Source organism: Homo sapiens, chromosome X, assembly GCF_000001405.40.
Source record: "Homo sapiens chromosome X, GRCh38.p14 Primary Assembly".
Classification (NCBI taxonomy): domain Eukaryota; kingdom Metazoa; phylum Chordata; class Mammalia; order Primates; family Hominidae; genus Homo; species Homo sapiens.
Genome location: NC_000023.11, coordinates 80,427,231 through 80,449,010, shown reverse-complemented (window position 1 = coordinate 80,449,010; position 21,780 = coordinate 80,427,231). Strand labels below are relative to the sequence as shown.

Below are 21,780 nucleotides of genomic sequence, written 5' to 3'. Positions count from 1 at the left end.
TAGTTAAGGGAAATCTTGAAATATTAGAACTCCTAAAATTGGACTCTCTATAATGCACACATGAAAGCTTTCTCTTCTAGAACGGGACCATCCACAAACACAATTCTACCTGACTAATAATCATGACATTTCTAGACTCTCCCTCACTAGTAATTAAACTTGGCATAGTGTCATTTTGTCTTTTGGTAATATAAACAGTAACAAATTGCCCCCAGATGTCATTTTTTGCATCTTATCATTGTGAGCATAAAGAGGTATCATTTCAATAAATGAAGAAAATGAGGAAGCAAAATGGGAGGAATTAAAAACTTGGTCCTCAGGAAAATGGAATACATGCTCCCTTTTTGGAAACTGTCAGGATTACCAGAATTTATATATCTCTTCTATAGAGGTACTTTCCCTAACTTAGTAAATAGTTGCTGAATTTCATAGAAATCTATTCACAGCATATTGAATATAGTCCTCTACATTTTGAAATCAGATAACTTTCCTGGCATGGTTTCTGTTTTGGTACACATATTATTTATCTAGAAGAATATAATGCCTTTCAGTTGAAATATGTATTTAGGTGCTTTTAAAGGAAGTCAATTTTTAACCTTAAAACTGCTAAAATTTACACTTTTTACTTGCTGACATTATTAAATGCATTTTACCTGACGGCAAATCTTTCGATAAGACAATAGTTATCTGAAGTTCACTGCCTTAACAACCATTGGTTTTTTAAGGCATTTAACTCTCAATGTCCAAAACTACCTTACAAAACTCCCAAAACCATAAAGAAAATAATTTATGTAGAAATCTTTTGCGTTCAAAAAGGTTACATGTGAAGCTTAGAGAAAATTATTTACAATTCTGTTTGTTCAAATATCTGCAAACATATGTTTGTGTTGAATCTTTAATTTTACTCGGGAGAAGTGAACATTTATAATAACTTTTAAAACACATACATGTAATGGCTATCTAATATCAATTTTTATTTTAAAAATATTGGAAGTGAGTACTACACATAATAGAAGAATGTGCTTTTTAACTCTGATTTTACAAGTTAAAAATATGACAATGCCTGTATTATTTTTCCTTTTGGGATTAAAGCCACCTGCTATATAGACAAATTTTATTTATGTTGTCCTCCTATAATAAAAGTGAAATTACTGAATAGAATATTAGTGTGAACACTCATACTACTTCTACTGTCATTTTCATGAAGATCAACCTCCCCCACTGATATTGGAGTTATACAAATACTAAAACAAGAATTCAATCCCATGTTTCTGGGTTCTGTAGTTGAGCCAAAGGACCAGGTGTGACTGAACCATGTCTATTCATAACATAAGGTGGACTACTTATTAGCATTTTAGAGAATGGTTCAAATTCTACCATCTAAAATATATAACAAGTGAATTGTCAAAAAAATTACCATGACATTACTTGGGTTGGGTTATTCGACTCATCAATTTTAATTTGGAAATTAAGAAGAAAAATTTTTTCAAAGAGGGCCCTCTGAAGACATTTCTTTCTTAGAAAGGTCATTTTATGCATTTAGAGGGGCTAATTATTTTGCTCTGAGCTACTAAAATGTATATCTATATGATACTATTTTTCTAGGACAGGGAGGTTTGGTTTATTTGACGGGCCATAAAAAACACATGCACATAAAATTCAGCTGTTCATCTATTGTCTATCTTTTGCTCTTTCAAGAGTTACATATAGACAAAAAGTGTGTTTTTGTTGTTGTTTAAAACAAATACATCCATGTAGCACTGCCTTAAACATGAAAATTGTGAAAAAATCACCTTACACTCCCCCATAAAAAAGCAAAAGAAATTATGTGTTACGCTCAAAGATCACGAGTTACATGCTGAATTGGCTTCCAAATAGCATATATGCTAAATAATATGTTTTCTGTTAAAACTTGTAAAATTCAAGAAAAACTGTTTCCTTAATGGAGGATTTAAGAGCAAAACACTGAAATCCCAACAGATTTGCTACTTTCAATATGTGCTGAAGAAATATTCATTAAATGGAGCAGTGGGTCAGCAATAAAATTTCCAAATGCTTATTACATAAATTTTAACATTATAACTTACAGAATATAACCACCAAATAGAGAGCACAACTAAAAACAAAATGTTAAATGCATTTTATTTTACAATGGTAAAGGAAATAAATCCCAGATTAGGTTAAAATGTTGGGTTTGATGCCTTATCAAAGTGGTCTTCATGAAAATATTTACCAAATTATAGTTCTACATATCTCCCAATCCTGTTTTAATGTTAATTTACAATGTAAGTTATATTTCTGAAAATCTTCAATGAGTGAGACATATGCGCTCTTAAATCAATGTAATTTTGAAAAGTATTGGAAACTTTAAAACTTCAACAATGTTCTCAATTATATGCTTTAACTTCCCATATTTTTAAAGTTGAACGACTACTTCCAGGTAATAGATGCACTGAATAAAAAGGATTTTTAATTGTATCTGAGGCATTTTTCATCTTATTTTTATCAATGCATAACTAAACTGTGACTTTAAAGACAAATGTTAAACTCTCTAATTTGAATGTATTTTAATAGATCTTTGCTGATGTAAGAAGATGGAATTTGGGCACAGAAGGCTTTCCGAGTTTTGAGGGGAAGTTGACATTTCTAGCTCTGATATTTTTGTCTTGAATTTAGATGGCTTTTCTCTAAATTAAATCAACTAGTTAATCCTTCTCTTTCAATTCTGTTCAACTAAATTGGGCATGAGTCACTATTAGAAGAATATATAAAACTTTAAAAGTTATAAATACCCTACTTGTAGAAGTTTGATAATAATGTGTGGATATTTTTGAAATACAAGAATATTCTGGTTTAAAAAATATGTATCTGTAGCTGACAAAATTTGTCTCACAGATATGAATGTTAGAATTATATTAAAAATTGCTTTCTTTTTTGGTTTTGGTTAGGTTCCTGAAAAAAAAAAACTTCCTAAACCAAGACTCAGTATTGCGTTTGTACAAAATAAAATGGCTACATATTAAACAGGCAAAGATAATACTGTTTCTCTTTGGTAATGGGATGTCATATGCTTTAGAGTAGGGTTTTTAAAAAAATAACTTCTATTAACTCCTTTTGGCAAAGAGGCTAGCATTCATTAATTTACAGAAAAACTTTTCCATTTACTACCCTAATCAGCAGAATGAAATAATACTCCTTCTCAAGGGAACTAGCCTAATCCTGGAGAGATATTCATACACTATTGAAGACTGATATTTTTCTGGTTGGTTGGGAGCAAAGTACTAGCTTGGTAACGGTATCTATAGAAAGCAAGCCATGAGAAATAAAGCTACAGCTTTTTCTTCAGTGATACCATCCCCATTCAAGAGGTTTAAATTCTTTCTCTTGAGAAAATCATAGATAGCAGTTCTGAGAGCTTTGCTGTTACAAGGGAAATACATGCTTAAAATGTTAGGAGAACATACCTAGCTTTCAGGCCATTCTTCCATCAGGACTTAAAGCTTTAGGAGAATACCATAAATAATTTGCTTTTTAGGAAAGAAGGAGTTTAAATTCTCAATGGGATCAAAGAAAGCTATGGGAGCACATGGGGTATGAGATATTTCCAAATAGCTTCAGAATTCTGCTATTCAGTGTCAAATACCACTCTGGAAAATATTGAACCTACTGAATCTATACCCATGACATCACAATCATAGTCCTTTCATTTCTAAATATTTTATTGTAATTACAAATTCTTTGTCAAGAAAGTGGTAAGTCCATAGTGTTTTAAAGCCTCAGGGTTCTGTGATATATAATTCTTTAAAAATATACTGATGGCCACTTGTGCTGTGGTATAAAACATCTCAGAAATATTGGTTATTTGAAAATGCCGTATTTGGTGTACTTCTGTCCAATATTGTAATACAGTGAAGATAAGCACAGTCTATAACTGGCAAATTATCGGGATACAACTGTCAGGTCATGTTGTGATAGAAAACGTGATGGTCAATAAAAACTGAAATGGAAACTCACAAAAAATCATAACCAAGTGGAAATACTGAAGTTTTCCAATGGCCTGATCCATATTAATTTAAGACAGCTCCTCTTCTGACACTTCAGGTAATATTGGTCATGAATTATTTTCATTATGGGAAGAAAATACATTTTTAATCCCACTGGTAGATTTTTCTAGCAGTATACTCGATGTAGTAAGTATATATTTAGATATACTGTAAAGGTATACAGTTGTTGAATAAATTATAGTGTTACGCAAAAATTCACACGAAGAGGCACTTGAGTGGCATGTTAGAAAATGATCTTTGGTAAAGGCAAAATGAAAAACCTGCTTCATTTAGTTACAATGAAAATATTTTAACTTACTGAAATGGAATGTTTCTCAACATAAAGATGTTTTTCAAATAAGCCATAAAATGGTAAATGCTATGGCTATAAACCTCTGCCTGTTTTTTTCCTGTTTGCCATTTAGAGTCTCTTTGTAGTAGATGATGATAGAAAGCTTTCACATTCAGAGCTGGTCATTTTCATTCGTTTTAACTTATTTTGAGGGGCAAAAAACCCTGTATCTGATCTCAGTAGTAGTTGCACAGCTGTATGGTATTGTTATTCAAATCCACAAATTAACTAAATGTTTTATTATATAGATGACAAATTACTAATGTCCAGGGCTTTCCAGAACCATTTTTTTCCAGTATTCCTTTAAACTATAGTAGGATTTTTGTATCCAACCCAATTTAATTGTCAAAAAAAAATGCTTGAAAAGTCCAGGGTTTTAATGTCTTCTGAATCTGTTGCTTTTGAAATTAGGCATTTCTGTTAAGTACTGAACATTTATTGATGGTATTGTTCAATAGAAAAAAAGAACTAAATGTAACAAAGGAACTGACTGAATATAAAAAATTTGATACTTCACTGTACATCTTAATTTTAAAACATGAATCTGTCCTTTTATGTTATAGTCAAAGATGCAGGCATCTCTAATATATTTGTCACAGTAAATTTGAAAGTCACAAGTAGTCAAAAGATTTGAAAATCACTTCAAGGGGAACACAACATTTGAAAGTTATTATAGCTAGTCAATAACGTTTGAAAAACATTTAAAGTGGTTGGTTTATAGATATTGTATTTACTATGATGGCTTAATTGATCAAAAATAGTTGGTAACTACTATTCCATCAACTGTAATTGAAAATAATTGGTAACTGTACAAAAATAAAAACAGATCTTGAATTTTACATTTGGAAACTTGCTTTTAAATGGTGTTTAATTAAATCAAAGTTTCTATGGTTGCATGTGTATTTTTTAACTCATACCATTTGATCCACGAAAGTGCAGTGGGTGGTATGGCTGGAAGCTAACGGGGGGTGGCTCAGGTATTACATAAATAGGGTACCTTGCCTCAGCTGCAAAGTACGGAGCAGGCTGATAAAAGCAAGTTACCTTTTGTGTATTGGGTAGAATATTTAGTTCTCCAAGTACTTTCAAAGCCATCATGGTGATCAGGTGGAGAATCTGTCTTCTTTCATAACTCATGAGGCAAACAGTGCTTTCATTCACAACTCCATGCAAGGTCATAAGGTAGTCATACTTGGTCATTCCTTCACCTATGAAATGGTTGTGGAGGTATGATTCAATTTTCTTTTGCTGTTCTTCTATATGAGGAAAATCAATAAAGAATCTAGAGCACATATAACGTTCTAGGTTTTTGATTTCTGACATACAGGCTGGCTTGAAGCCATGAACCAGCAAGCTGCAGTACTTCAGAAGGCCACCACCTCTAATCTCTTCAGGTTTCCTGGTACATATGAGCTTGTGTTGCAAATGTGTCATTGCTTCCTGGAAGTCTCCATACATGCTTTCAGCTACCACAACAGGATAGGATTCTTTGGTTAGCTTGGCATTTTTGTCACTGTAGAAGTCTAACATGGGATCCAAAACAATTTGAAAGGAATCTACACTAAATTCAAACTGCCGTCTGAGTGAACTCACAAATTTTAGTTCTAAATTCTTCCCAGTGTTATTTGAAAGGGAGATAAGACTCCAACAATCATGCCCATTGCAAACCTTGACCAATTTCTGTACGTAAGCGTCTTTCATGATATCTGGGGAGAGCTTTTCCTTCTTTACATCTTTTGGTAAAAAGTCAAGTAGACAGTCTAGAACTGCATCTTTAACAACCTGAAATTCTTCGTTACCTGGAAGCTCAACACCAAAAATAACGTCCAGATCCTTATAGCTGATTCCATTGTGGCTTGCAAGTATGTAACTTGCTACGGAACCATTCAATCTGGCATCTTTAACAATAATTCCTTGCCCTATGAGTTGATCTTTCACAACATGAATGATGTCTTTTGGTTTTACCTCCATTGTGGGGAAATTCCCCTTTCCATGAATTGGAATTACTTCATCTAACACTTGATCCAGTGTTATAACTTGATCCCAAGTGAGATTGGTGAATCTGATTTCAGACATTGTGAAGTCAGTAGATCACTAGACAGCAAACAAAATATTGGGAAGAAATATGTTAGCACCTTAAAACCAATGCTAAAGCATATGAAAAAGTTAAAAATAGACTTACCCTCAACATAAACCATGATAATACTAGGGAGGAAATTACCAATATATTTAATCATGTTTAAATATAAAAGTGAAATAAAAGCCACAATTATTATGTCAAAGATGTTAGATACATTGATGAATGCAAACAGATTTCTCAGGAATTTTCTGGAGTTGTAATGACTGTTGATATAAAATGGTAGCCTTTTTTAATCTTGCTTCATGTAAATACTATAATGATGGTATTTCTTTGGTGATATAAATTTTGTTCATGGGATAACCATAATGTATCATTGAGATTAATTATCATGATTGTAAAGTGAGACCAGATAACATGTCTCTGTGTTAGAACCAATGGACTCAATGGCATAGTGTTTACAAACAATATATATAATCTTTAATCCCAAAAGCATCAGATCACTCTCTCATATACTTTTCAGTTTCTCATATATAACTGCTCTTACTTAAAAGAATATTACTGAAGTCTTCTGTTAGAGTATGAGCTCCTTTAATTCCTTAATAAGGAAAGTACCTAATTTATCACCTCTTCTATGTGCCCAGTAGCCCTTTAAAAAATGTTAGTTGAAGGAATGTCAATTTAAAATGAAAAACAGATGAGACTACTAAATTTGTACCTGAAATGAGAATAAGAATATATAAACTCATAAGATTCCTAAGCTTTAAAAAATGTTCACTGCAGATTTGCAATATAATATGCTCAGATAATTTTATAGTTTAGGGAATGTTAGGAAGTTAACATTTTATAATATATTGTAACACTATAAATGCAAGTAGATACAATTATGTTGTTATGTACAATCACAGTGATTACATGGATCTTCAAGTACGCTAATAAGTTGTCTAAACAAATAAATCTAGGAAAGTAAATAACATTCAACATGGACATAGTTTTGGGGTTAGGCATTTGTTCCTGACTTCCAGAAATAAAAAACAATATGAAGCCTAAGATTTGTGTGGACAGTATTCATATTTTGCCTATCTAAGGAGCTATCAAAACAGAATATAAATATTTGAAATTTAGTATTATGTATTTCCCTAGTAGAACTAGAGCAAACATAATCATCTTATTTGACATCTACGTGGACTACTTTGATAGTCCATGCATTTTGCAAAAGGCCTATTAAGCAACAGCATATCTGTGTTAGTGAGAAGGAAAAATTAAACCTATTCTGTTTCTCTGTATGTAATCCCTAGAAATATGAACTACAGACTGAATATTTATTTTTATTATATGATGAAATGACCCATGAAATAGGATGCTTGTTTTAAGCCACTTTAATGACTAATGTTTATACAGTTTGATCAGCTACGTGAATATCCAAATCGATCCTTAAAGATGGATGGACCAAACTGATTACATATCAGGCTTTCAGAATTTGGTAATTTATCTATCGAATGAAATGATCTATATAGCATCTTTAGGACACTGGAAAGAGCAAGATGCTACATGAAGTGATACAACATGCAATGAGAACTGGTAATCTTATTTTCTAGTTCCTTCTGAAATTATCACTGAATTATTAGAAGCTAACAGTTTGTTATGCTCAAATTCTCAATCTAGAAAAGGAATAGTTCATAACACTGGCTGGCTTCATGTAAAGGTTTTAGGAAGAAAAACAATTTACCTAATAAATATTTTTTAAATATCACATATAAACTGTTAAGATTTTAATTTATGATACAGCAAAAGTTCTAAAATTCCTTCTTCATGTGCAAATTTGTTTTGCAAATATATATTTTCCTTTCCTTAATGGCAAATTTCCATTGTCAATATCAGTAAAAATTTTAAAAAATTCAATGGTCTAATCCTAGGCCTACAGTCTCCATGTAAATCATCTATGATCTGAAAATAAAGGAAAACATTTATCTTGCTATATTGACATTACTGAAATTACGAAATTCTTTCCCAAACAAAAGTTGACAGGACACTTATATACAAATAAAACCATCCAGAGACTTAACTAAAAAAAAATTGCCAAAATGCAGAAGTCCTTGATCAAGAGATATCCTTCAAACCAAGAAATTGGAAGCCCTACTTAATATCTTGGATCTGCTCCTAGATATCAGAGAAGGGAGAAGATAGGATTTTGTTTACCAAACAGAATGGCAGTAAGATCTTGCAAAGATAAGAAAGTGGTCCAAAATTTAACTTCACTTTATACCAGGAAAGTGGTGTAGAAAAACTGTCCATCAGTATGCAACTTTCCAATTGCCACTTAATTATCTATGCTAGTGATTTCCAAACATTCTAGTCTTTTCAATTACCTACAAGCTTTAAACACACACACATAAAATAGTTTAGGCCTAGTATTTCATAATAATTACAGAAACAGTGATGACAACTTGCCAGGATGTGGAGAAACGGTGTCCTTGCGTGAGCAACACATTATTCAATTGTCTAAATCAAGGCTTTAATAACCAGTTAGGTTTTTTTTAACCTTTCTCTAGCCATAACTATGAAAGCTTGTTTTTGGAATCAAGTCTATTTTATTCCATATCATTACTAACTGACAAATTCTGAGTTACCATGTCACTAACTACCTCTACTGTTACATAAGAAAATGAAAATTACAAATTTTTAAAATTAGCCCTAGAAAAAAGCGTTAATTATGATAAAAATTTGTGATACATATATACTCAAACATATATATGTATACATATAGACATATATAAGCACAAAATATAATAAAATACATGTCACAATGGAGTAAATATAAGTGATTTGTACTGATCTGGAATCTATACATGCCTCCAAAAATGCTGACCTCTATTAACATGAATAATCAAGATTTGACAATAATGTTATGCTCCTTTTGGCACAGCTACTGTTCATTTTCACATAATGTACAATATCAATGCAGTGTTATTAGTACAAATTTCAAATATGGCATTAAAGTAATAGGACTTATCTTAATGTGTAGATTATGGCTCCATACTTAACCGCATATAGTAGAGTTAATCACCCATATATCAAAAACAGCACATCAGAAAACTTGTTGGGAAACTTAATTTGAATTTTCTGAAGCAAAAAGTATGGCTAAATAGAAACTTTGGATGAATGTCATGGTAAAGGTGGAAAAACTGCAACAAAGCCACCCATATTGCTTATAATACTGTCTTGGGTACAATCCAACTTTTATTTACTGAAAGTGTGTTTATTGAGTATGAATTATAAAGCTACATTTTCATAAGTTAAAATTCCAAATTCAAGGCAGAAACTCTTCAATAATTTTCCACATAAACCTCAATAGAAGCACAAAACATGAAATTTCTAATTATCGTTTTCAAAATGTGGAGATCAGCAGTAGTTCACATTGCAGAATATTTAAATCTTGTTTGGCTCCCTGTCTTCTCCCAATATACTTATCCTTTAAGCTAACATTTTTCCCATCTAGCCTAACCTATTAGTATGCCTGTAATGTATCTGACTACAGTAAATGCCAAAATCAATGCAAAGTGGTTTCCATTATTCAACTGGTTAAATTCATCTGGGAATGCAAAGCAAAGCAAGCAATTTGTCAAGATATCACAAAAGACTATGAATGGATATTTGTATAATAAAGAAAATGTAATTGTTCTCCCTATTACAACTCTATGTTCCCTTTGACGATGGGAAACATAAGAAGTTAGCCACTCTTTACCTGTCTATATTAATATTAGAACTATATTTTCAAAGACAGTGAGAAAAGACATCATACTTACATTGAAAGGATTGCTTTCAAGAATGCAATATAGTTGAGTTAAAATGATTATTCAGTAGATCCTTCAGTGAAGATAGTAATTTTCATATTATCACTGAATAAAGTAATACACCAACCAGAAAAACTGCAAGATAATAAAAGCAAAAATAAAGTTCTTTAATAGATATTATATACAAATAATATAATGATGCCCCATGGCCGACAGTCCTGAAAATTATATACATACATACATACATACATACATACACACACAGACGCATACATACACACAGAAGAAATGATGAAATGATTGCTCTAAAATAGTGGTTCTCAAAGTTTAACATGCATTAGAATTACACAGATGGTTAGTAACTCTAATGCATGTTAAAATTTGACAACCACTATTTTAGAGCAATCATTTTATCTGTGTGTAAACACACAGATTTCTGGGTCCCACCTCCAGAGTTTCTAATTTAGCAGGTCAGATGTGGGGCCAGAATATCTTCATTTCTAATAACTTCCAAGATGATGCTAATGCTGCTGGTCAGGGAATGACACTTTAAGAACTGCTACACTGAAGAAAACTGAGAAGAAACGGTAAAGGAAAAGTAGTCTCAATAGCAGTTCCTAGTCCCTCATATTTTGGCTATTTCCACTTAATTTAAAACATTACATTAAATAATACAGAAAATTCTAATCAAAGTGAATGCTCTTTTAAGCCATAAACTTTTGAAAACATTTCAGCAGTGCAATATTGTTTTCTGAGCTGGACATTAAGGCCAGTAGAAAGTCTTTCTAAAGCTTGTATTGTGGTCCTAAATCTAATTAGTTCCCTTACCTATAATAAATGATTGTATATAAAAATGAATTCCTGTACTTTAGAAACTTTCAAGTTATATATCCATATATACGTACCTATAGACAAACAAACAACAAGATTTTGGTCTGAATGTATTATATTTTACCAGTCTAAAGAAGTATTAAACATGATTTGACTATTGGAAAGAGGTATTAGATATTTTATTTGACACATTGCATTTGTTTCCAAGAGAGAATATTAATGTCTGTGAGAAATAACAGTTCAGTATTTAATTAAACAATGATTTACTCATAATCAACCATTATCCCTTTAAAATACAGATACCTATTTCAGAAAAAAATAGTATTTTCTTATATCAAGAAGAAAAGATTATGCTTATCAAATAATATCAATTTGGTGTTTCCATACTGTGTTCAATAAGATCGTAGAATACCCTGAATAGTATACTTCAATAAAAAAACTATAAAATAAAGTGTTAATCATCTCACGGAAGTGTCTTGCATTGTTTTCACTCAGTCAAAAGTAAAACCTGTAGTATTACTTTAACCCAAAAGAAAACTACCATTGGTATTTTACTCATTCAATACTGAAAGGAACAACAGTAAATAAAATACTGATTTTGATACTTGTGGACCAATAAGCCAGGCAAGGTCAGAAAGATCCCTCACCCAGTCATTAACTTTGTGTCTGGCTCCATGATGAAAAATGTAAGATGTCTACTGTTTTGTCATTTTGCTCTTCAAAAATAAAGTTGTGATATCAGTTAACTAGTTGGGTGCTCAAATCATATTCTTTTAATAATTGTTGGGAAATATAGAGGGAGCTGTAAAAGGAATAAAGCATTAAAATAGCTATGTAGCAATAAGAGAAATCCTTTTAATCAAATCATCTTGACAGTGAAATTTGCTTTTCTTTTCAACTATCAACACTGCAGATAATTTTTTTGCTTGTTTATTGTGCTAACCCAAAGCAAAAAGATACCAAATATAGTAAAAGCAGTAAAAAGGAAAGCAAGTGAGTTGTTTTTAATGGGACAAAAGTGATCTCTGTACCAATAGAGAGCCCTAGTGCTTTAGTTGCCTAATTATAGAGAAAGCTAATTAAAAGTAGAAGTGTGTTTCCAATAGTCCTTATTGTATCAATAAGAATGAGACTGATAAAGAAAATGTGGCACATATACACCATGGAATACTATGCAGCCATAAAAAAGGATGAGTTCATGTCCTTTGCAGGGACATGGATGAAGCTGGAAACCATCATTCTCAGCAAACTAACACAGGAACAGAAAGCCAAACACCGCAGGTTCTCACTCATAAGTGGGAGTTGAACAGTGAGAACACATGGACACAGGGAGGGGAACATCACACACCGGGACCTATCGGGGTTGGGGGGCTAGGGGAGGAATAGCATTAGGAGAAGTACCTAATGTAGATGACGGGTTGATGGGTGCAGCAAACCACCATGGCACGTGTATACCTATGTAACAAACCTGCACGTCCTGCACATGTATCCCAGAACTTAAAGTATAATAATAATAAAAAAGAATGAGATTGAAAACAAATGCACTTTTAATATACTTTGCCTTGAAAAAGTCATTGATATTTTGCAGTTTTCTCTATACATCAAAGAGTTCCCTAATTTTCCCAGATATCTTGAATCTACAATAATTATACATATTTTCTTTTCTGAATGTCTACTATATTTAGTAGACATTCAGATAAGATATTCAGATATTCTATTTAGTAGATACCCATATAACCTTAAAGTAATTCTTAGAATAGCCACCAAATCAGAATATATGCCCATTTAAAGGGAGATATTATTCCACAGAATAGTTTAGATTATAGGCTATGGAAAACTAGTAGTAGAGTGTAAAAAAATAGAGGTACATATACTGAAAGTTGACCTCATGTTGTTCACCCCATCTTTAAATGAAGATTCCTAGTTGCAACACCTTAAGGCAGATACTTTATCTATGGTTGTAACACTAATTTATTCCTGTAATAGCTAAAGCTTTAAAATGTGTTTGAAATAAAATGGAAATTAAGAAATTGTAAAGAGCCAGTTTTTACTTTCAATTAGATTCACTAGTTTTTTGTTCCACTAACATCTAGATAAGTTTTGCTTACAAAAGAAAGAACTAAATATGTGTTTAGAGTCCAACTGTAGATGCAAAATATTTAAAGGAACTTTGTTCTCAATAAGAAGTAGTATTAACATTAAGCTCTGTAGACAACCTATGAAGGTCCTTTTATAAATACCATAATCAGAATGTGTTTATCAGTTGTTCTAAATGGGCAGCTATTTTATAATCTGTTCAAAATAGATACCTTGGGTAAAATTTGTTGACTGACTTCAATAATGTGTTAGTCTGTCCCTCTTTGAGGACTTCTGTATTAGTACATTACATTAAAAATAATTACAAAGCAATCTTGAAACATATTTCAGGTTAAAATCTGGCAAAGGATGAAAGTTTTCAATCAAAAAGTGTAACAATTTAAATGAAAACGGTTTTACATGTTTCCAGTGTTTTTATCTAGGTAAAAAGTATAATATTTAGTTTATCTCTGTATTGTTGAATTTGGAATTGTAATCTAGATGTGTGATATTTTAACAGCCAAACACAACAGATTTAAATAAGCATGAGGAAGTCATAGTAAGATTAAGCTGTTTGCATGCATATATTAAACTTTTATTATTGTGTAATTATGATTTTTATATAATTGACTGTAGTGCTTGAATTGCAGAACAATACTTACATCACAAAATACTGTATCATTTATGCTGTAATACATTGTGGATGTTAACACTGTTGATGTTATGAGTCTATAGCATTCAAAGTTTCAGAAGGGGGCTGGGCGCGGTGGCTCAAGTCTGTAATCCCAGCACTTTGAGAGGCTGAGGCGGGCGGATCATGAGGTCAGGAGATCGAGACTATCCTGGCTAACACAGTGAAACCCCATCTCTACTAAAAATACAAAAAAATTAGCTGGGCATGGTGGCGGATGCCTGTAGTCTCAGCTACTCAGGAGGCTGAGGCAGGAGAATGGTATGAACCTGGGAGGTGGAGCTTGCAGTGAGCCGAGATCGTGTCATGGCACTCCAGCCTAGGCGACAAAGAGAGACTCCGTCTCAAAAAAAAAAAAAAAACAAAGAAAAAAACGAAGTTTCAGAAGAGAGTTCTCAATAACTGTTCACTTATAGTATTAGTCATTTTCAAATTTCCTTCCAAAAAATGACTCACATTACTATAGATAATGCTAAAACAGCTCCAATTTGGGTCAATTCACAAACTCATTTTAGTTGCAATAAGGTTCATATACCAAAACAACATTTGCAAAAATTCACTTGTCCAGGATTCTACTAATGAATGTGGTCATTTCCAAAATTTATAGCCACTCACAAACGTACCTCAGATAATTGTGAAGCTTGAAAAAGAGATGTTTATTTTTAATTCTTCTTAATTAAAAATGTCTTTAATTATATTTAAAATGAAGTTATTTCACACACTTTTAACTACTATATATTGGGTAATGCTCGGACATATATGTAGGCAATCTGTTTCAGGGTTGACCCATGCTGGGAGGAGGAGGGCTTCAATTTATCTTGTACCAAAAGATGATGGGAGTGTTAAAGGTTTTAGTTTCTATTCAGACCTACAAGGAGGCAGGCATATACTTTCCATGTTAGTGCTATTTATATCCTGATCTGTCTTTTTTTTTTTTTTACTTTATGATCATCTCTTTTAAAATACTATGCTTAGCTCCATTTCCCTTTTTTTTTTGTTTTGTTTTTTTTGAGACAGAGTCTCACTCTGTCACCCAGGCTGGAGTGCAGTGGTACGATCTTGGCTCACTGTGACCTCCACCTCCCAGGTTCAAGCGATTCTCCTGCCTCAGCCTCCTGGGTAGCTGGGATTACAGGCGCCTGCCACCACGCCTGGCTAATTTTTTTTTATTTTTAGTAGAGATGGGGTTTCACCATGTTGGCCAGGCTGATCTCAGACTCCTGACCTCAAGTGATCCATCTGCCTCGGCCTCCAAAAGTGCTGGGATTAGAGGCATGAGCCACCATGCCTGGCCTCCATTTCCCATTTTAAGAGTCAAAGTGTTCTTACTGACTGAGATTTATGCAAATTCCCAGTTTCCTGTCATTTGATGTATAGGGAAATAACTTCTTGAAATTCTTATATGTAGGTGGAACCATACTAAAAGATCCTTGACTTAAGAGGCTTAGGTGAAAGGTTCATTGGAACAATTAAGATAAACATGCTAGGCACCTATAAACACGAAGAGAAAATAGCATACAAGTCCCAAAAAGTTCTCAATTTAAAAGCTTGGTGCTCATAAGCTTTCCCCAGGCTAAACTTCTGCCCCTAATCCCAGAGAAATCTTACCACATGCTTTTCACTCGGCCCTAAACCAGATAAATACAATTCTTGCTGTGTTCACTTGTTTGTGTTGCTATGGCTGTTGTCTATTGCTTCTAAGGATAAAAGTGTACACTGTTCTAAGTAAATCATTGCCTGATTTCTTTCAGGTTTAGCACCATTCCCTTGTAGTGTGGCAGTAAGAGAGAAAAGTTAGGCAGTGAAAAATCAGGCTGCAGGCACAGATAAGAAAACTTGCACAAACCTCTGGCCCACTCAGATGAAGGAACAAGGCCCTCCATAGAAATGCCTTTGTTCTTTGTGCCTAAGATATGCCCACAGCCACTTTAATAAGGGAACAAGGCTCAGCATAGAAATGCTTTTGTCCTTTGTATAACCAGCAGGCTTCAAGGAAATAGTCTCTTCCCCTTTTGTGGGCATGTACATGGTGGGTTCTTGTGGGCACTTCCGTTTCCTTTTCTGGACAAGCTTTGGACTGTGAGCCCAGTCTCTATGAATCATCAGTTCAGCTCCTGATGGTCCCAGGGCCAAGCTTTCACTTCAGCTCCTGATAGGTCCAGGCCAAGCTAAGTAGCCCCTATGAATCACCACTTCAGCTCCTGATTGGTCCTGGACCAAGGTCCCAGGCCAAACTTAATCACACTTTCTGTAAGAAAGCCTACAGACTAAGCATAGTCCTTCCCTTCCCAGTCCATAAAAACCCCGGACCCCAACCTCATGGTGGGCAACCAATTTGGGCACCCCTCTCTGCTGCAGAGAGCTTTCTTCTTTCACTTATTAAACTTTTGCTCCAATCTCACCCTTGTTTCTGCGCTCCTTAATTCTCCTGGACATGAGACAAAGAACTCCATGTTCTATCTCAGACAATGAGATACTGCTACATATTTTGGTGCACTGGCAAAAATACAACATATTTTGTTGCATTGGCTGGGAAGAAAGGAATTCATCTAAAGGATGAGTAAGAGCAGAACATTAACTCTTTACTTTCATTTCCAAGGCTTCTTGTCTTAAGTTTTCTTCTCTCAAGAGCAAACAAAAACAGTGGGTTCCTTTCGGCCAGTTAAAAACGAATAGTGTGACTGCCAGACTTAAAGACTCAGGGGAAAGGCTTGCTGGAGAGAACTTTTTCAATCCCCCTTTGCCCTCACGTGTTGAAAATGTTGACTTTGTTCCAATCCAGTTTCCTTTCACAAAGGACCTAGCTGTCACGTGAGGCCGGAAGGAGGTCCTGGGGCAACTGAAGGTATCTGGCTGAGGCTACACTTCAGTGTTACCTGGGGGCCCTTGGACTAACTCCAGTCACCAACAGCCCATTAGAGAATTGGCAAAAGGACTTCCAGTCTTTTTCTATCACATTTTCCTTCTTTTTTTGTTTTTTGCAACTATCATGTTTCCTATCCCTGCTTTGTATGCAATGTTGTGGGTGTTTTTGCAACCTGGGGATATAGTCTTACTGGGCAAAGTCAGCTGGAGCCTTAGGAATGTAATTCAACGAATTATTGTCTCTGTGGTTTCCTTAAAATGGGGGATTCCAAGATCTGAATCTATTCAGAAAACCTATTTATCTGAAAACCTATTTATCTCCCAACAATAGCACTCAATGGAGTTAAACAGGGAGTTATTTCTCCCCAAGCAACTATCCCCTCCTTCATTTAAGCTGTTCCTTTTCCCATGTGAGAAGCCAGCACTTCCCAGCAGAACTAAAATACTTTTCTATGAAAAAGTTGATATGGTGTGGCTATGTCCCTACTCAAATCTCATCTTGAATTCCCATGTGTTGTGGGAGGGAACTGGTGGGAGGTAACTGATTCATGGGGGAAGTCTTTCCTGTGCTGGCCTCATGATAATGAGTCTCATGAGATCTGATGGTTTTAAAAAGAGTGTTTCCCTGCACAAGTTTGCCTTTTGCCATCCATGTAAGACATGACTTGCTCCTCCTTGCCTTCCAACATGATTGTCAGGTGTCCCAGCCTCTTCCTTTTGTAAATTGTCCAGTCTCAGGTATGTCTTTAACAGCAGCATGAAAACAGACTAATACACAATTTTCTTCTGCTGGGAGGCATACTTTAAGACAGCCTATCAAGCCCTAAAACTCTCTTTCTAACTTTTGTCTAAAAAGAATTTGGAGTCAGTTTTTACCTAACATTTCAGACCTTACAGCGCCATCTAGTGGGATGGAATTTTTCTCCTTGGGGAGCCTTGTCAGCTCTTTGCCCCAAATTTCTAGTTCCCCCAATTTTTTCTCTCTTACATCCCTCTATCAGTGATCAGGCCCCATACCCTATTTGTAGTCAGAAAAACTCCACTTTCAATAGCCAGGAGGAAGCCATCCCGGTAAGACAGATTCCAGCCTTGGTACTGTCCCCATCAAAGGAAAAACAGCCATTCAATCTTTGTATTCTTTTAAGGCACATGCTCTGAATGTAACTACATTGACATTTAAACAACAATGGGATTTTATATTTGGAAGTCAATTGGTGTCATTCTCTGGAATTCTAATGTTTCACTGGGGCCATAGGAAGGGAAGCCAGAGATAGTATTAAAACACTCCCTCTGTTAAAGAGTCTTGCCCAAATCCAACTACTACATAATCTCTCCCAGGCCCCTAGGGTATCTTGGGAGCCCTATGGGCCAAGTGTGTCTAGGAAACCAGCAAGATGGAGGGCTAGGGTCACTCTGGGTCACTCAGAAAAGAGAAAGGAGACATCTTTCCCCCGCCTCTTTTCTAGTTGGGTAACAAACCATCTGCAGTCTGTATTCCTCTTGAGTGCATTCTAAAACACTGGAACTCCTTTGACCCTAGGACTCAAAAGAAAAAAAATGGCATATATTCTGTTGTACAAGTGCATGGCCATCTTACCAACTTCAGGAGGGACAGAAGGCCTGGCCTCCTCAGGAAAGTGTTAATTTCAATACTATCCAACAACTAAATCTTTTCTGCAGACTGGAGGGCAAATGGTCTGAGGTTCCCTATGTACAAGCTTTCTTTGCCTTGCAAGATAACCCAGATCTTTATAAGCATTGTAAAATTAATCCTGCCCTTCTTGGCAGTCATATCAGCCAAGCCTACAAAAAATAACTCCCCAAAGTCAGAAAAACAAACCCCTGGGGAACTCTCAAATGCAACTTCTAAATGCCCTACCTTTCCCCCTTATCCAGGGCTCCCAGCAGTCATATCATCGGCTCCTCTGGCTGTAACACCCAAGAAACCCCTAATTTCGCTGTTGCTTCTGTAGGAAATGACCAATGGACATGGTACTATTAGGGTTCAAATTCCCTTCTCATTGCAGAACCTTAAACAAATAAAGGGTGTCCTAGGCAAGTTTTCTAATGACCCCAATAAATATATAAAGGCTTTCCAAAATCTAACCCAAGTGTTTAATCTTGCATGGGGAAATGTTTTTTTACTCCTAGCCAAATCCTAATGGCTGCCAAAAAGCAGGCAGCCCTACAGGCAGCAGAGAGATTCAGAGACAAACACCATGTCTCCTATAGCCAGTCAACAGAGAAACCCAGTCAAAAAGGGAAAGACGGTGAAGAAAAAAAAAAAAGCAGGATCCCCATTCCCAATAGAATGCAAAGAACCAGAACCAAACATCTTAATTACTCTAAACTGTCTTTGTTAAATCAAAAACCAGATGGCCTTTTTAAAAAGGCTGAGAGAAGCTTTAGTGAAACACACCTCCCTATCTCGTAATTCAATTGAGGGACAGATAATCTTAAAAGATGTATTTATTACTCAGGAAGCCCCTGGTATCAAAAGGAAACTACAAAAGCAGGCTATGGGACCAAAGGGTACCTTATAAAAACCTCCTGAAGACAGCCTCCTTGGTCTTTTACAAGAGAAACCAGGAGGAGGAGGCCCAGGAAAAAGAGGGGAAGCACAAGAAAAGAACAGAAGCAGTAGTGGCCACTTCACAGGCCTATAAAATCCAGAGTCCTGGCTGGGTGCAGTGGCTCACGCCTGTAATCCCAGCACTTTGGGAGGCCGAGGCAGGAGGATCACTTGAGGTCAGGAGTTTGAGACCAGCCTGGCCAACATGGTGAAACCCTGTCTCTACTAAAAAAAAAAAAATTAGCTGGGCGTGGTGGCAGGGACCTGTAATCCCAGCTACTCGGGAGGCTGAGACAGGAGAATTGCTTGAACCCAGGACGTGGAGGTTTCAATGAGCCGAGATTGTGCCACTGCATTTCAGCCTGGGCGACAAAACAAGACTCTGTCTCAAAAAATAAACAAACAACAACAACAACAAAAATCCAGAGTCCCCTGGTGCACCTGCTAATTGCTATCAGTATGGCAAGCCAGAACACTTCAAAAGGGAGTGCCCAGGCAATAAAAAAGCCACCTCAACCCTGTCCAGCTTGTGGTGGGGACCACTAAAAGGCAGAATGTCTCCAGAGGTGCAAGTCACCAGGTCCAGGGCCTGTCTCACAAATGATCCAGCAGGACTAATGGGTCCTGAGGCTCAACCCCCCGGCTCCATCAACTCAGACTGCCATTATGACTCAGGGGCCCTGGGTAATTCTGGAGGTAAAAGGGAGGAAGGTAAACTTCCTTCTAAACACTGAAGCTGGTCTTTCTGTTCTCCTCCCCAGTCCAGGCCTCCCTTCCTCCCACTGCACAATCGTGAAGGGCTTCTCTAGAAGGCACTAAAAGCTCTTCATAATTTCTTAGCTAAAAGGGAATATAGGGTCTCAAAATCTAAAGCTCAGCTCTGTCAGACTTCAGTAAAGTATGTAAGTCAGCCTTATCAAAAGTGATGAGAGCACCAGGTGAGAAAAGGATTAAGCCCATTTACTTTAACAGTTAAGAGGATTCTTAGGCATTAATGAATTTTGCAGACTGTGGGTACCTGGGTACAGTGGAATAGCTCACCCTTTATACCACCTCATAAAAGAAACTCGAGCAGATAAAACTCACTCCCTAACTTAAGAACGTAAAACTCAAAAGCCTTTAAACAATTAAAGCAAGCCTTGCTTGAAAGCAGCAGCTTTCTTCAGTCTTCCCATAAGGAAGGCATTTAATCTCTATGTATCAGAAAGCAAGGGAATAACCCTGGAAGTTTTAACTAAGGCTCAAGGTGCAGCTCAACAATCAGTGGGTTACCTAAGCAAGGAATTTAACTTAATGGCTAAAGGATGGCCAGCCTGCCTCTAAGAAGTTGCAGTGGTGGCTTTGCAGGTGCCAGAAGCCAACAGGTTAACCATGGGGAATAACTTAACTGTTTACACCCCACACAATATAGCAAGACTGCTGTCCTCTAGGGAAAGTCTCTGGCTAACAGACAATCACCTCCTCAAATATCAAGCTTTGCTGCTAGAGTGATCTGCAGTCCACCTAAAAAACTCCCCGTCTGAATGCAGCCACTTTCTTCCAGAGAAAACTAGAAAACCTGAACATTATTGTGAACAGATAGTGGTATAAACTGATAAAAGAAATAGTAAGAATCACTGTTTATACTCTCTGTAGTTTTAATTAATAAAAAATAATTTTCTTAAAAAGTGCTCAGCTTAATTAAAAGTGGATATTTAAGTTATAGGTATATTTTTAAAGCCTTTATGTTTTTCTCTTCATAAATTTGTTTTTCTGGAAAACGTTTTTTCTCAGTCAACTAAATTATTTTCCTCCAATCTGTCTTGCCACTCTTGGTGCATGCATAAAAGGCCCTAGGATAACTTCTGGTAACCCAGGACTCCTTGAGAAAACCGAAAAGTCACCACAAATCCCATTTTGGGAAAAATATCTGTTTTCCTCATTAAACCCCTGAAATTAGAGGCAAATAAATACCTCTCAAAATCTATTTTCGCCTTCCAGGTATGCTTGTTTGTCAGGCCACAGAAACTACATACTTTCTGAGCCCTATTCTTAAATGGTTCCACCCTAAGCTGCTGGATTTTCTTCTGCCTGTCTGTGTAGTTATACATGTGTTGTGTGTGTAATGTCTATTTAAGAAGAGCTCTAATTAATTAACTTGAAAAAGGATAAGCCCTTGGATCAAATATTTTTTAAAGGGAAAAATAAAAGCTCTGGTACCTTTCAGTTCATGTGACTTTAATCTTTAAAAAATAAAAACAGCCTTAAAGATTATTGGTAAAATGCAAATGTCTTAAAAATATAAATAGGTAGTCTAAATTATGCAAGTCACATAGTAGGTTTGCTAAATGTTTTAAGGTTTTAAACTGCTTCTTTGGCCTTTAAAAACTGTTCAACTTGCCTGCTTCACAATGGGTAAGGTCTGGGGACATATGAAAGTAACCATATGCCTCTAATTATGCTGAAAAACATCAAACTTTATCTGCACCTAGTATATAAT

The 21,780-nt window shown here is 35.4% G+C and overlaps 1 protein-coding gene across 2 annotated transcripts in view; it reads right to left on the bottom strand.

Annotated features, from left to right (window-relative positions):
- TENT5D (terminal nucleotidyltransferase 5D) overlaps positions 3,702 to 21,780 on the bottom strand; it is a 109,806-nt gene continuing 91,727 nt past the window's right edge. For both annotated transcript variants that reach the window (NM_001170574.2, NM_152630.5), the window contains 2 exons: positions 10,279 to 10,401; positions 3,702 to 6,489 (listed from right to left, as the gene is read on the bottom strand). In NM_001170574.2, coding sequence (NP_001164045.1) covers positions 5,302 to 6,471 — 1,170 coding nt within the window. In that variant the 5' untranslated portion in view covers positions 6,472 to 6,489; positions 10,279 to 10,401 and the 3' untranslated portion in view covers positions 3,702 to 5,301. The remainder of the gene's footprint in view (positions 6,490 to 10,278; positions 10,402 to 21,780) is intronic.